The following is a 15,930-nucleotide window of genomic DNA, read 5'->3' as shown; positions in this document are numbered from 1 at the left end:
GATGAGGTAGCAGGCAGTGGCAGTCCCGGCCCCGAGTCACTTGGCCTTGCTGCCGGAACTTCCTCGGGACTGTTTCAGCTTGAGGGAGGTCTTTATGGGGCAGCCCTTCCTCTTGGCACAGTTGGGGGCCGTGGGGGAGCCCCTCTTTGGCCGTCAGTGGGATAGCTGGCCCCAGGGCCTCCCCTTTGCTGTGTCCGAGGACAGGGCCTCTGCTCTCTGGCAGCCGCTGTAGTGGCTCAGTCGCCCCAGCAGTGGGGTCAGCCCCTATTGTAGGTGGCCGGCAGGGCCTGGGACTGGGGTGACACAGAGCACTGCTGTCATGGGCTGTGGGCTGCTTGTCTCTGGCTTTTACATGAAGAAGTCCTCCTGCCCTCCTCACAGGGTTCGAGTGGGTTTCCTGGTGCTGTCAGGGCTGGGGGTGCTGAGTGAGCCGGTGGTTGTGCTGGGCACTGGGTAATTAACGGGATGGTGGAGGAGGTGGCAAAGTTAGAGACACAGTCTGTGGTACTCCGCAAAAGGCCTGGGCTGCAGGAGGGCTCATTGCAGCCTGCCGGGCAGTGAGTGGCTGATGGACAGTGACACTGACGGGGGTGACCTCGCTGGTGTGGAAGAAGAGGAGGTGGTCCCGGGTGGGAGGTGGTGGGATGGCTTCATATCCTCTTCTACCTTGTGCTGTCCTAGCCTGTGTCCAAGACCTCTGGCCCCAGCCGTGTGTCTGGATGCGCCCCAGGTGCGCACTCTGCTTCGGGTTGGAGGCTGGGGTCAGGCCCCGGGGCCCCTTGCCGGCCTGCCTGCTAGCCTGCCAGGGCCCTCCTGGGATGTGCCTGCAGCCCCAAGGGGCCTCTCCACCACTGCCTGCGCTTTACTCCTCTCCATGCTCATCAAGGATGAGCCTTTATTTCCTGTGAACAGGAGTCCCTTTGCCCTTGCCTTGGCAGGAGATGTGGGCCTGGATTGTTACTCCGAAGAAGACTGCCTGGCCAGGCCTGGGGGGGTGGGTGCAGGGAGGCTGGGAAGGGGGCACTTGAGGGCACTCTCAATGTCCTTGTCCTCTCTCAGTCCCCACTGTGCCACTTCAACTCCCTCCCCAATGTCAGGCTCTGCATCTGAGAGGGTGGAGCCACTTGTGGACAGATGGGAGGCGTCGGGGGACAGGGGAGGGGTCTGGGGGAGTGTGAGAGTGTTTTGTGAGCACCTCCTTTTCCGACCCAGGCGGGCTCTGCAGTTAGGGCCTTGAGGGGCATTTCTCTAATTGCATACCTCGTCTTTGACTTTGAAACAGGCTCCCTAAAGTGTATTAAGAACTTAAAAAGCCAACAGAAGCCAGTACACACTGCCCCTTCTCTGACACCAGCCCCATGCTGTGCTGTGGCTTCCCCTCTGGGCCCAGGGAGGTGTCTAGGCACGTGGTGTCATCCGTGGGGTGTGAAGTCCGAGCAGACTGCAGGCCCTGCCTGCGTGTGGGCTGGGTCATGTGGCCCTGGGGTCTGAGGCAAAGGGCTAGAGAGGTCCTTTGAGATCCAGACAGTGGTGGGAAGGCTGAGGTCGAGAGGGGATGGCACCCTTGGGACTGAGCTGGAACAAACCCACCAGGCCCTGCCTTTCCCAGCTCTGGGGCCTTTGGTGAGTGCCACAGCCTTATTATTTTCTTTCTTTATTGACATAATAGTCACACATCAAAGTTTGTCGTTTCACCCTTTTAAAGTCTTCAACCTGGTGATGCTAGTTCATTCCCAGTGCTGTGCAGCCACCGCCACTGTCTCAATTCCAGAGCGTTTCCACCTCCCAAAAGGGAGCCCTGGCCCTAGGCAGTCACCCCACCCTCAGCTCCCCCAGCCCTGGCAGCTCTAGTCTGCGGTCTGCCTGCGGCTTTGCCTGTTCTGGACGTTTCCTGTGAGTGGAGCCATGCCCCATGTGCCTCTGTCTGCTCTGTGATCCTTGGAGCCTCCGCTTCCTCCTCTATAAAGTAGGGTTCCTGCCATCACGAGGAAACACGGGACATGCCTCGGCCAGGGCTGGTGCACAGGAGGCCCCGGCAAGCCTCACTTCTCTTATGTGGCCCCGTGTTCTTTTTGGACTGGTGCTCGCCTGTCTCCATCTTCCAAGGCCTGAGCACCACCCCTGCGCCCCAGCCTTCATGGACGCCTCCTTCCTGATGCCGTCCGCCTTCCTGGAGCATGAGGCCCCGACCCTGGCCACAAACCCAGCCCTGTGCTGGCCAGTCTGGCCCCGACCCTGCCCCAGAATGAGCTGGTTCCCTCCCCAGCTCTCCGGCTGCATCATCAGCCCCTGTTGGGAAGTGCCTCTAGCCCTCTCAGTCCTCTGCGGAGTTGCCTGCATGCTGCAGGACTGTTGCCATGTGTGTTGGAGACACCCCCGGCGCAGCTGTCCAGAGGAGGGCTGGTTGCAGAGGAGGAGGGCGCTGTACGGCAGGGCCGCTGCTCTCCGCTGGCGAGGGCCCAGACTCAGCAGGTGTGGGGAGCGAGCCTTGTCTTTGATGTGTCCATCTGCCACCTGCCTTTCCCGCAGACCTCCCTCGGGAGTGGTTGTCCAGGTGGGCAGGAGCTGCCCTATGCTTCCCCGACTGCCTCATGGCTGCTGGCACAAAGCCTAGCTCTCAGCTTTGCTGGCATGGCAGCTTGGGGTTTAGTCACGTCCTCTCCATGAGGCCCTCAGAGGTGACCCTGTCTCCCTGGGGTGAACCTTGCCAGTGCTTGAGTCTGGTTTCTTAGCGCCCTGTGGGAGCCAAACAGCATTTGCTCTATCCACTCTGAGCTGCCCCTCCTGGCCATGGTGCCCTGGCCCACACCCCCTGCCTGCCCGCCCTGGCTTCCCCTGCCTCATCCACGGTATAGGTCCACGGGCCTGTGATTCTCCCTGGCCTGCAGAGACCCATCTCTGTGGTCGCCTGGGCCAGTGTAACAAGAGCCGTCACACATCACGTAGCTGCCCAGCTTAGTCAACGTCAACTTCGCTTTGAGCCGCATCCGATTCTTCGCTCCTTCGGCATGGGCTGGCCCAGGGCCAGCTGGGGAAGTGATCATCAGCCTTGTCAGTCACACACTAAGGTTTTGGGGTACTCCGTTTCTCCTTGAGGACCCCTAGTGGTGCTCTGTGGATTTTGAAGCACCATCATGGATGTGCAGAGGCCCAGAGTGGGGCTTCAGACCTCTGTCCCTACTACCTCTTTCCTCACGTCTGTCCATCACCAGATGAGTGGGCAAGAAGGGTCCTCCCAGGGTGGGAGGTGGGCTGGCCACTTGTGCCCTGCCCAGGTCACGGTAGCAGAATCTGGCAGCAGCTCACGTGCAGGGTAGCAGGGCCAAGGCATCTCACCGCAGGGCCAGTGTATGGTGGCTCCCAGATGGCAGAGGGAGGGCCGGCCCTGGGCTATTCTTCCCTTCCCTGGGGCCACTGCATATGGACTCGGGCACACACCATGCCCTGTCTGCAGCCGTGGGACGGGGTTAGCATTGCATGTGAGGCACCCAGCGCTAGCTCAAGCCAAGTCAGGCTGCACACTGTCTTGACTGGGCTTTTTCCTGCCTGAACCTGAGCCGGGGCCACATCCTTCAGCTCATCCCCTCCGGCAACTGGGGAACTGCCTGGCCAGTGTCATGCCTGGTGGCAGCAGAGCCTGGCAGCCTGTCAGCTTGCCCAGTGGTCCAGGCAGCCTGTCAGCTTGCCCAGTGGTCGAGGCAGCCTGTCAGCTTGCCCAGTGGTCCAGGCAGCCTGTCAGCTTGCCCAGTGGTCGAGGCAGCCTGTCAGCTTGCCCAGTGGTCCAGGCAGCCAGGCAGGCTTGTGGTGGGTGTTGGGTGTCCAGGGTGGCTCGGTGCTCACTGTGGAGTGGCTGTGTGGGTGCCCTCCTCAAGCTCCTGCCCTGGGGACCCCCTCGTGCTGGGGCTGCATTGCCTTGAGACCTGGTTCAGTGAAGAGCAGGTGGGGACCCAGACCCTTGTAATCCCACACACGGCCGAGTGTTCATCAGAGGCCTTCGTCTGCAGCGGGCAGGTAAGTGGGGCCTGCAGTGAGACGTGGGGGGACGCAGCACTGGTGGGGAGCGTGCCTGCCGCCTTTTGGCGTTTTAGGGTGTCCCGTTATCCCTGTTCACAGCAGAACTGGAGGGTGGGGATGGGGACGGCAGAGAGAAGTCCTGATAAGCGCTGCTGACGTTTCGTTTTGTTTTATGGAGTGTTAGTGAAGTTGCTCAGATGGTGTGAAGATGGAATCTGGGAAATGAATTTTTCTTCCTTCTCCTGGGAATGGGTGTTGGGGACAGGACTGGGAATGAGGGGGGCCCTCTCTGGACCTCCCTTAGGTCCCCGGCCAGAGTCATGGGATTGTTGCTAACGGCCTGTGAAGCCAGGGTCTTCAGCTGGGTGGCCGTCCCTCTGAGGGTTCCCGGACCCAACAAACCTGTGCTCCAGCGGCAGCCGTGGGATATGTGGGAATGGGCGCTTCCTGAGACCAGGATGTGGCGTCCTGCATGTAGTGATGAGTTGGCCCAGTCGGGGCTGGAAGCGGCAGGAGGCCTGTGCTGTGGTTGGTGGGGCTGCGGTGTCGCAGGAGTGCCGTGGTGGTGTGGGATGAGGCAGCCCCTGCCTCGTAACCGTGGACCCCCAGCAGTAGCAGAGGCAGTGCTTGGAGGAGGCCCCACAGCCTGCCTGGTGACAGGACGGCACTCCCCGCGGCTCCCTCAGTCTTGAGGTTATGCTGTGACTCAACAGCCGTTTCTAGAAAGCACGGTTGCGCCGAGTCCTGGCTTTATTGCTGGGCGGCAGGCATGTCTTTGGACATAGCACAGCCTGCGTTTCCACTTATCGATGGATGCTTTCGCGTTCTCCAGCTTTTGGCTGTTAGGCGGAAAGAGGCTGTGAGCATTTCTGTAGGATCTTTGTACGGACAAATGTTTGCATTTTGTTGTGGGGGGATTATTACCTGCAAGTTGAATTGCTGGCCGTAGGGTTGGTGTGACTTTTAAAGATATGCCCAATTAATTAAGATCAAGATCAATTAATCTTGATCTGAATAATTTTATCATCTCAGTATTATTCCCATGTAAATCGATTGATTTTATTAATCATTTGAAAGGTCCAGATGTTGATATCATTAGTTTTCTCTATTGATTTGATGTTGATTTAATTGGTTTCTGCTCACCTTTATTATTTCTTTCTCCTGCTTACTTTGGGTTAATGCTTTTGTCAGATTATTGACTTGAGATCTTTTTTTTTCTAAGTATTTATTGCTATACACTTCCCTCTATGCATTGCTTTACTGATACACATTTTAATATCTTGTGTTTTTATTTCATTCAGTTATTTCCTAATTTCTCTTTGATTTCTTCTGTTACACATGATTATTTAGAAGTGTGTTGTGTAATTTCAGATGATTATGTCATTCACAGATAACTTTCTGTTACTGATTTCTAGTTCTCTTTTCAGAGAATGTATTTTGTATGATTTCAGCGATTATAACTATGTCAAGACTTGCTTTATGGCCTAAAATAGAGTCTGTCTTAGTGAATGTTCCACGTGCGTTTGGCAGGAATGTGTATTCTCCTGTTGCGTGGGTTAGGCTGGTTGATGGTGTTGGAGTTTCTGTGGCCTCTATGCTCTTGTGTCTGCTTGCTCTGCTGACCGCGCTGCCTGTAACTGTGGATTTGTGTGTTTCTTTCCAGTTCTATCAGTTTTTGCTTCACGTATTTTCAAGCTGTGACATTAGGTGCATACATACTTAGAATTGTTTTATCTTAGTCAGTTGACCATCTGTTTTGAAAGTGTCCTTCTTTTATTTCTATTATATTTGTGGTTCTGAATTCTACTCTGATATTAGTGTAGCCATTCCAGCTTTCTTATGATTACTGTTTACATGATATATTTTTCTAATTTTTACTTATAATTTCATCTGATTTTATATATGAAGTGGGCTTCTTGTATATACTGTAGAGCAAGATCTTGCCTTTTTTTTTTTTTTTTTTTTTTTTGAGACAGGGTCTCTTGCTCTGTTGTCCATGCTAAAATGTAGCGGTGTGATCAAGGCTCACTGCAGCCTCGATCTCCCAGGTTCAGGCAGTCTTCCCACCTCAGCATTTCAAGTAGCTGAGACTGCAGGTGTACATCACCACAGCTGGCCAATTTTTATTTTTTTATAGAAAGAGATCTCACTGTGTGGCCCAGGCTGATCTTGAACTTCTAGGCTCAAGTGATCCTCCTATCTTAGCCTCGGAAAGTGTTGGGATTACAGGCATGAGCCGCCACGCCTGGCCGGAATCTTGCTTTTACTCTCATCGGAGAAGCTCTGCTTTTTGGTGGGAATGGTGAAAGCAGTGCCTCTGTCCAGTAGGATTTTTGGTAATGATGAAAGGCCCTGTCATCTGCATTCTTCATCGTGACAGCCATTTGCCACATGGGGCTCCTGGGCACTTGAAATGTGGCTAGTGCAGGAAGCAACCGAGTTTACCATTTTATTTAATTTTAATTAATTAAAATCTACATTTAAATTGCCGCAAGGGGTTGATGGCTACTGGAGTGGACGAGCCGTCTTCGGCTCATGCATCATTAAGTGTAAGGCCTTCATGTTGGCTTTAACTCTACTGTCTTGATGTTTGCTTTCTATATTTCCTTTTTTTCCCCCTTTTTATTTTCTTTCTCTTCCTTCCTTTTTTTTTGGAGTAGAATTGAGTGCTATTTAGCATTCCATTTTATCTCCACTAAGGGCTTATGAGAGATTCCTGTTTGTTTCTTTTTTTAGTGGTTGCTTTAGAGTTTACAGCATAGATCTTTAACTTTCCGCAGCCCGCCTTCAAGTAGCACCGTATCATGTCCTGTGTGGTGGATCGGCCACACAGGAATGCACTTCTGTGTCCCACGCCCGCCTCATTGATGTGGTTTCAGTACATTCAGGACCACACGTCATTTATAACACATGGTGACCCCACCTTGTTGACGTGGTTTCAATACATTCAGGACCACGGGTCATTTATAACATGATGACCCTGCCTCGTTGACATGGTTTCAGTACATTCAGGATCACATGTCATTTATAACATCTGATGACCCCGCCTCGTTGAGGTGGTTTCAGTACATTGAAGATCACATGTCATTTATAACACATGATAACCCTGCCTCGTTGATGTGGTTTCAGTACATTCAGGACCACACGTCATTTATAACACATGATGACCCCGGCACATAGTTACGGATTTTGCTTTTACAATCGATAGTGTTTTAAATAAATGAACGTATCTTTTTTCTATTTACCATTCTGGCGTTCTTTAATTCTTCAGGGAGATCCAGGTTTCTTGCTGTTACTTTCACCCTAACTAGCTGCTTCTAACATTTCCTGTACTTCACATCTGGTTGGAACCGATCCTTTTCACTTTTGCTTGTCAAAATCTGCCCCTGTGTTTGAAATCTGTTTCCAGTGGGTGTAGAATTCTAGTTGCAGGTTTTTCCGTCCAGCACTTTAAAGACATCCTTCCATTGTCTTTCAGCTTCCACAGTTTCTGACGAAAGGATCAAGTCCTTCTTATGTTTTTTCTTCCTCATGAAATGTGCAGTTTTTTCTCCGGGCCACTTTTCAGGTTTCTTTATCACTGTTTTTCTGCAGTTTGCCTATAATGTACCTTGGATTTAAAAAATATGTATTTATTCTGCTTGTGGATTGGTGAAATTTTTGAATCTCCGAGTTTATAGTTTCATAAAATTTGGGTACTTTTGGTCATTATTTCTGGCAATTCTTTTTGTTTGTTTTGTGTCCCGTCCCCCCTGCTGCCCCCCCACCCTGTGTGTGCCACTTACTGGCCTGTGACCTTGAGCAGGTCACCTGCCCACCTGTGAATGGGGAGAGTGATCCTGGGCCCTGGGATAGGTTCTTGTGCTCCTGTCAGAGCTTGTTCCATGATAAAAGAAAAACTTGAGCTGAAATAAATTTAAAGGAGTTTAGTTAAGCAGTGAACAATTCATGAATTGGGCAGCCTCCCGAACCAGAGTAGGCTCAGAGACTCCAGCACAGCCATGGGGTAGAAGATTTTGGACAGCAAAAGGAAAGTGACATACAGAAAATGGTAGTGAGGCATGGAAACAGATCAGTTACAGCTTGGCATTTGCCTTATTTGAACACAGTTCCAGCAGTTGGCTTTGTTTGGCCAAAATTCAGTGATTGGCACAAGTATAGACCATGGTCCATTTACACTCCCTGTTGTCATAGCTCAAGATGTACAGATAAACCTTTAGGCTGAACTGAAAATATGTAAGGAGGCGCCTTTAGGCTAAACTTGATTTAACTCATCCTCATTCTCGTTGTTCTACTAATGCAACTGAGGCCCTGGCTTGACCTTGCTAGGCTGGGCCATGGTGACATCGAGGGGTGGTGGGTGCTGGGTGATGGGGGGCCGTCCCTCAGGCCTTGCCTTCCTGGAGGCCGCCTGGCAGTTCCTCCTTTCTCCAGGCCTTGCCATGAGTGCGGCTGCTGGACCGGGAGGCCTGGGACTGGGGCAAGGTGGAGGTAGCTGGACGGAAAGTGTGCAGGGGGCCAGGACTTGCTGGGGAGCCAGGGGTGCACAGAGCATACGTGGACAGGCCTGTGTGCACCCAGATGGAGTGCCAGGGTCAGCTCTGCCCTGGCCAGGCAGCTCAGAAACCCCAAGCAGAGCTGGGCTTGGGCCTTGTCCTGGTGGAAACCCAGATATCCAGCCAGGGGTGCTGTGTCCCTTCATGCCGGGCCACCTCAGGGCAGCCCAGACAGGATTGGTGTTGGGAGGGTCCCCTCGGCACCCCTAGCATCTTCTAGCCCTCACACCTGTTTGTAGACCTCAAACCACGTTCTTTTATTTAAAAATTTTAATATGGAAAATTGTAAACTTGCAGAGAAAGTTGAAAGAACTGCACCGACACCCACGTAGCTGCCACCTGAATGCGAGCCTGGAGTCTCTACCTGGTTTAATCGACCTTTAGTGCCTCCACCTGCATGCGTTTCGGAGCGAGCTCGGCCCCCCGTGCTTCCTTCTGAACGCTGCTTTACTTGCCGTTCACTTTTCTTTCATTTATGTACAGTGAACTGCACAGCTCCTAAGTGTGCCATCCTGGGCGTTGTGACAGATGTGTAACCCACAGCTCTGTCCAGGCACAGGGCAGGCCCTCACCCAGGAGGGTCCCTCCGGCCCTGCCCCAGTTCCCCAGCCTGGCCCAGAGGCCCCGGGGATTGCCTTGGTCGTTCTCGACCTTCGCCCCGTTCGCTCTGGTTTCTGAACAGTGTTTCTGAGATTCACTGTGTTGCGTGCCTGGAGTTTCCTTGCACACAGGCCCCGTGTGGCTGTCCCTTCCCCGGTATCTCTTGGACACCAGCCCTCTCTCCGGGTGTGGGCTGGTAGCAATCAAGCTGCTGGGAGCTGGGAGTGCTCTTCAGGAGCTTCTCTGGATGTGCGCTCTGCTCCTCTGTGTAAACCCTGGGACTGCTGGCTGGAGGGCGGGCAGGCAGCGAGTGTTTCCATGTGCTTTGATGTGTGCTCTGCTCCTCTGTGTAAATGCCCAAGATGCTGACTGAGGGGTGGACAGAGGGCGAGTGTGTGCAGCCTGCAGACCCTTCCCATGGTGGCCGTGCCGTTTATCCTCACCATGCAGCGGGCGAGCGTTCCATCCACCATGTCCTCATGAGGACTTGCTGTCCTCATAGTGTTCTGTAGATTTTTAAAAATTGAGATAAAACTTAGTCACTCAGAATTCACCATCTTATCCATATTAAAGCATATAGCTCAGTGTCTGTTAGAATATTCAGCATTCTATAATCACCACTAATTCTAAAATGTTTCCATCACCCCCAAAAGCACCCCCGTACCCATCAGCAGTCATGCCCATTCCTCCCTCTCACTGCCCCTGCCCTGGCTCTGTCCTAGGATTGGTCTGTTCTGACATGGTAGATGTGTGGAACCGTGCGGCGTGTGGCCTTTTCCTGCTGGCTTTCATCTCTGTGCGTGCTGTGCTCAGGGCTCACCTGCATTGTGCGGAAACCAGTGTTTCTGTTTCCAATGCTGAGCTGCCGGTGCAGAGCTGGACCTTGTTTCTGTTGCTTCATCAGCGGGGCTGTGCTTTGACTCTTAGTGATGCTGCTCTGAGCCTCCACGTGCAGGTGCTCGTAGCTTCCGGGCACACACGCCAGCTGCTGCGGTGTATGGAAACTCAGGGTGCTGCCTTTCTGAGGGACCACCCCCTGCCTTCGTCTCTCCTTCCTTCCAGCTTGAAGGTACTGTGAAGGCAGGTGCGGGTGTCCAGCACTGACTCCAGGGTGGCCAAGCCGCAAAGGCAGTGAGGGGGTTCAGGGCCACTCTGCTGCCTGTCGGGTCCCTGCCCCTGGGGGCTGCCCAGAGCGGTTAGCAGAGCTGGGCCTGCAGGCTTCACCCTTAGCCTGTGTTCTTTCCTCCTCCCTGTCTTCTCCCAGCCACCCAGGTCGATCCGTGCAACCTCCAGGAGCTGTTCCAGGAGATGTCGGCCAACGTCTTCCGAATCAACTCCAGTGGTGAGTGTGCGTCTGGCCTGGGCCTGCCCCTCCATCCAGGCACCCTGGACCACTGATGCGACATTGGAGGCGAGGGTGCTGGATGGCTTCCCCCCTCAGGCCATCCTGCGGTGCAGTCCCGGGTTTCGTGGGTCCACTGATGCGACGTTGGATGCGAGGGTGCTGGATGGCTTCCCCCGTCAGGCCGTCCTGCAGTGCAGTCCCGGGTTTCATGGGTGGGAAGGAGCAAGGGCTGGGTCAGGGCCGGGTACCGCTCCCGCTGGCTGCTCCTGCCTGCTGCCCCCTGCCCGCTGCTGGCTCCTCTCCCTGACCCCATGCTGCTCCTTCTTGACACCTTTTGTGTGATCTGGATGGAGCCCAGTGGAGGAAGGAGCATCCCAGGGCCTCTCAGACGTGCAGACCAGAGGTCACTGAGACTGAGAGCAGGGATGAGAGCCACGGCCAGGGGAGGGGCAACGGATGGGGTGAGGGGAGCAGGGTGGAGAGAAGCTGTCCCCAGAGCCAGGGCAAGACTGCTGGAGGCAGCTCCTCAGAGCCCCTGAGCTGCATGTGGGCCTGAGCACCTGTTGCAGGCCAGCTGGGGAGGGGTTCTGGCGGGCGTGACCTTATGCTGAGGCAGTGTGGACCCTGGCCTCCAGGCCACTTAGGTGGTCTGCCCTGGCTCAAGCACTGGTCCCTGGGCTCTGCTCACCCTGCCCGGGCTGCAGTGGGGCCACCCATATGGAGTAGCAGGGGGCAGGGAAGCTCCTTCTGCCCTCACCCTGTCCCTCTTCTCTCGGGCAGTGACCTCCTTGGAGCGGAGCCTTCAGTCCTTAGGGACACCGAGTGACACGCAGGAGCTTCGGGACAGCCTGTGAGTGTGTGGGCCATGGTATCTCTTTGCCTGGGCGTGGTGCACATTGGGGGGCAGGGGCGGGAGTGTGGTCCTCCTGTGCACACGGGCTTTGTCCACACAGCTGCTTGCGCACAGCTGCCTGGACACACATGTGCGCACATATGCACACACGCCTGCGGATAAGCCTAGTCAGTGCTGTGAACCTGAGACTGGGCCCTCAGCCTGCAGGTGCCCTCCACAGGGCACACAGGTGCACCCCGCCCCGACGTAGAAGCCCAGGTGCACCTGTGTGCTAAGGTCAGGGGGTGCATGCCTGCTGGCACACGCTTTTCCCTGCCAACATGCTCCAAATGTGTCTTTGTCATGTCTGAAGGCTCCCTGTTGGGGCCTGCTCAGCTATGGACACAGGAGGTGACACAGATGTACCATTTGCACAGCCATGGGCTAGGTTGGAGTGGGGCGTCCGATCTTGCTTCTGCCCTTTCGGGGAGTTGAGCCTTGGCGGGCTCCCACTGGACTTTCCTTGAGGGGTGCCCAGTGGCCTGCCCTGGGTTGGGCTGGTCTGGGATGGGGAGAGGTGCCTCGGGTGCTGTCTGCTAAGTCTGAGCCCTGGCTGGGCTGGGGAGCGGGGGGAAGGGAGCACCTGCCCTGGGTGTGGTTAGAGTGGCACTCTGGGGTCTGAGGGGACGCTAGCAGTCTATACTTTTCCCCTCCAGCTGGCCCCCACTGCACTTGCTGCTGTGACCTCCTGTGCTGGCCTGTGTCCCGCCCTGCAGTGAGCGGGATGCCCGCAGCTCCAAGGACCCCAGCCAGCCCCAGGCCACTGCACTGGGACGTTGTCCTCGCACTCCCCTGTGCAGAACTGGTGGCCACACCAGCCTTGCACCCTGAAAGGGCCAGAACTGAGGAGGCCGGGAGGGCCACGGCTCCCACAAGGGTGGAGGGTGCTGGAGTCTCTGCTCCTCCTCACGGCGGCTCCGTTCAAAATCCGCAGGCGCCTGCCACACAGCCTCACGCACCAGCTGCGGAGCACCCTTTGCAGATGTTCAGGGCAGTTCTATTCTTAGCCTTTTTTTTTAAGCTCTTTTATAAAACTGAAACTTAAGTGTTTTCTGATGTGACAGTGACGTAGGCTCATGATAGGGAATTTGGACGCAGGATGCCTGGGAGCTGCTGTTAGCATGTCGGTGTTCCCTCCAGCCTTCCTCACACCCACGCGTATTTGCACGGTCAGACCTCAGTGAGGGACTGTGGACCTGCTGGTCACACCTGGGCTCTGGGGTGCTCGGGCTCAGGAAACGTGTGGCCTCTCAGAGGGCCCTGTTGATGCAGATAACTTGTGTAACTCTGGGCCGGGTCTGTGGCTCTCCCGTCTCTTCAGTGTGGTGGGCAGGTTCCCAGTGAAGCTGCTGTGCTTAGATCTTAGTGCCACTGGCCCACTCCTGGGTTAGGTCACGAGGGCCAGGTGGGATGGGCACGTCCGGACCCTGGCCCTCATGTGCGCATCCTGGGCCGCCCGGCCTGGTTAGCTGAAGACCGACACCACCCGCTGTGGGCCTCGGAGAGGAGAGGGGACCCCAGCGTGGAGTAGGAGACTGTCCTGGTCTGAGGACCGAGTATCCCGGCACCTTGGCTCTCCCCTGGGCCGGCCTTAGCTCTTAGGTCTGGAAACTCGCCTTAGTGCTTTTCTGACCCTCCCTGCATGGCCAGCTGTGGGTCTAGCCTGCTTGGCATGGCTTATCTAGAGCCTTCTGTGGCCCCTCTGATGCTCCCATATCATGGACTGTTAACATTTAAAAATAACTTTTGAGACCAACGTGGTTGCCAGTTCTATATTTCCTCCACATTGACGAAGTTGCCAACTAAGGACATTTAAAGAATATACCTTCATCCACGGCCGCCATCATTTCGTCAGGGAAAAGGCTTTCCAGCCCTGCAGTGTAGGAGGGACCCAGTCTCAGGAGGAAGGGTGGTCCTTCCACCCGAATACATTCAGCTTCAGAAAAACCTCACCAGGTGGGGCCCATTTCTCTGATCCCATGCAAGGCCAGTGTGGCCAGGTCATTTCTGTCACCTGTGTGCGGAACCCTCCCCCCCCCCAAAGGCCTCCCTGTCACAGACCCCCACGCTGGAGTCCAGTGGCCACGTTGCGATCCCATGGGCGGGGCTCAGTGGCAGCTCAGCTCACGCACTTCTGTCTGGGCTCTATTCCCTTCCACCCTGGGGGCCGTCACGATCTGGAGATGGTGTGTGGGCTGGCGCACCCCTGGTGTGTGGCTGTCAGAAATGCTCATTCCTTGATGCCGAAAAGAAGAACTAGCGCTCAAATAATTTTCTCAGCAAGGCAATTTTACTTTCTGCAGAAGGGGTGCTGCCTGTTAGCACTCCTGCCACGAGAGCACAATTGAACAAAGAAAGGCAAGAATATTTATCCCTTACGCATTGGGTCCTTTAGACCTGATTGGCTAACAACTTAAAACTTTCCTGAACAGGTAAAGGTAATGGAGAACAAAAGGAAAAGAGGAAGTTGCTTGCGAAAGAACTTAGAAAAGTAATGACATTTCCAAATAAGGAGGGCACGTAGGCTGTGAGCTGGGACATGCTTGAGCATGTTTAGAACAAATACCTTGATTAAAGTACAAGGACATAGGATGTACTTACTCCCTTATATCTAACAGCTACATAGGATAGGGCTTAACAAAGAGTTATTAGTATAAAAGCAAGGAGGCTTGAAGGAAGTTAGTTTTTTTTTTTAAAAAACTATTATTTCTAACACCTATGATATATTCTTTAGTAAGAAGGGAAACTTTGAAGAGGACATTTTTTACTTTCCACAGTGGCACAGAGGACCCGCTCCCCTTGGGGCTTTTGGACTTGTTCCCATGGGCTGTGTTCTCTGATCTGCCTGGGGCATGCAGCGATGCCTCCCTCTCACCTCCCCAGTGTGGTGAGGGTGTAGGTTGGGTGGCCCTGGTGGGGATGCATTAGAGGTGGCTGCTGAGAGGCTGCTGGCCCACTGCCCAGCATGCAGCGATGGCAGTGGGGTCTGGGTGAGCTGGGCTGCTGCTCCGCGTGAGGTGTGCTCTCCTTCCTGGCCCGGGACTTGCGTGTCAGAATCAGCACCAGAAGGGCTCAAGGAGCCTTGGATGACGATTGTTGAGCACCGTGGGCCCTCGCTTGGCAGCTCTTTCATGGGCGTAGTCCTAACAGCCCCGCCTCCTGCAGTGAGAGCTTAAGCAGGGCAGGACCATGATCCATGTGTGCGGTTCATCCCATCCCACTTGATTGAAGGCAAGTCCCTGTGGCAGAGGGGTGGCCAGCAGGGTGTGAAGAGCTGACCTCCCGGAGTGCCCGATGGAGGGCTCTGTGAGGGGGCCAGAGAGGGCTCACAGTACCCTCCATATGTAGGGACAGACCCATTTGCCAGCTGGTGCAGAATTGCACCCCTCTGTCCCTCTGTAAGGATGGACCCATTCACCAGCTTGTGCAGAACCGTGCCCCTCAGTCCCACTGTGAGGACACACCCATTCGCCGGCTGGTACAGAGCTGTGCCCCTCTCCCACTGTAAGGACGGACCCATTCGCCAGCTGATATAGAACCGCCCCCTCTCTGTCCCACTGTGAGGACAGACCTATTCACCAGCTTGTGCAGAACTGCACCCCTCTGTCTCACTGTAAGGACAGACCCATTCACCAGCTGGTGGGCATTTGGGTGACTTCATTTTGACCATGATGAATAAAGCTGCGGTGAATGTTTGCGGTAGGTGTTTGCGTGGGTGTAGATTTTCACCTGTCTTGGATATATCCCCAGGACTGGACTTGCTGGGTTATACGGTGGCTCTTTGTGTAATCCTTTGAGGAACTGCCAGACTTTCCAAAGCAGCTGCCCCATTTTACACCCCCGCCAGCAGTGTTGGAGGGTTCCTGTCTCCCCACCTCACTGCCAGCACTTGTTGTTATATGTCTTTTGGATGTGGCTATCCTAGTGGGTGCGAAGTGGGGTCTTGTGGTGATCTCATTTGTATTTTCCTGGTAATTGAAGGCTTCAAGCATCTTTTCATCTGCTTGTTAGCCATTTGTATATCTTCTTGGAAGGAATGTCTATTCAGATCCTTTGCCCATGTCCTGATCGGGTATTTTTCTTTTTACTGTTGAGTTGATTCCTTCTAGAAGTTTCCTCCTGCTGTGCAGCCCATGCTCTCCAGGGCCTTTACTGGTGCTGGTTCCTCATCCGTCTCGTGCTCTCTGGGGCCCTCCCCTTCGCTGGTGCTGGTTCCTCATCCGTCTCATGCTCTCCGGGGCCCCTCCCCTTCGCTGGTGCTGGTTCCTCATCTGTCTCGTGCTCTCCGGGGCCCTCCCCTTCGCTGGTGCTGGTTCCTCATCTGTCTCGTGCTCTCCGGGGCCCTCCCCTTCGCTGGTGCTGGTTCCTCATCTGTCTCATGCCCTCCGGGGCCCTCCCCTTCGCTGGTGCTGGTTCGTCATCCGTCTCATGGTCTCCGGGGCCCTCCCCTTCGCTGGTGCTGGTTCCTCATCCGTCTCGTGCTCTCTGGGGCCCTCCCCTTCGCTGATGCTGGTTCCTCATCT

At 54.8% G+C, this 15,930-nt stretch overlaps 1 protein-coding gene across 48 annotated transcripts in view, besides 2 other annotated features; it reads left to right on the top strand.

Annotated features, from left to right (window-relative positions):
- The window catches only part of TSNARE1 (t-SNARE domain containing 1), a 194,950-nt gene that overhangs the window by 64,764 nt on the left and 114,256 nt on the right, over positions 1 to 15,930 (top strand). For 45 of the 48 annotated variants that reach the window (XR_007060718.1, XR_007060717.1, NM_001366901.1 and 42 more), the window contains 2 exons: positions 10,435 to 10,512; positions 11,296 to 11,365. Coding sequence is in view for 46 of the 48 variants with exons in the window: in NM_001366901.1 (NP_001353830.1) it covers positions 10,435 to 10,512; positions 11,296 to 11,365 (148 nt within the window). In the remaining 2 variants the exon portion in view is untranslated. The other 3 variants (XM_047421490.1, XM_047421489.1, XM_011516924.2) reach the window with 2 other exon arrangements.
- Positions 3,555 to 4,257: an enhancer, noted in NCBI's record as "H3K4me1 hESC enhancer chr8:143419370-143420072 (GRCh37/hg19 assembly coordinates)". NCBI's record gives its function as "activates a minimal SCP1, AML or CMV promoter by ChIP-STARR-seq in naive H9 embryonic stem cells {active_cell/tissue: H9 hESC(naive)}" and the evidence as "EXISTENCE:reporter gene assay evidence [ECO:0000049][PMID:30033119]".
- Positions 15,648 to 15,787: an enhancer, noted in NCBI's record as "active region_28059". NCBI's record gives its function as "activates an Ori minimal core promoter by ATAC-STARR-seq in GM12878 lymphoblastoid cells {active_cell/tissue: GM12878}" and the evidence as "EXISTENCE:reporter gene assay evidence [ECO:0000049][PMID:35858748]".

Source organism: Homo sapiens, chromosome 8 (assembly GCF_000001405.40).
Source record: "Homo sapiens chromosome 8, GRCh38.p14 Primary Assembly".
In the NCBI taxonomy this organism is placed as follows: domain Eukaryota; kingdom Metazoa; phylum Chordata; class Mammalia; order Primates; family Hominidae; genus Homo; species Homo sapiens.
This window is presented reverse-complemented; position numbering and strand designations above follow the sequence as displayed.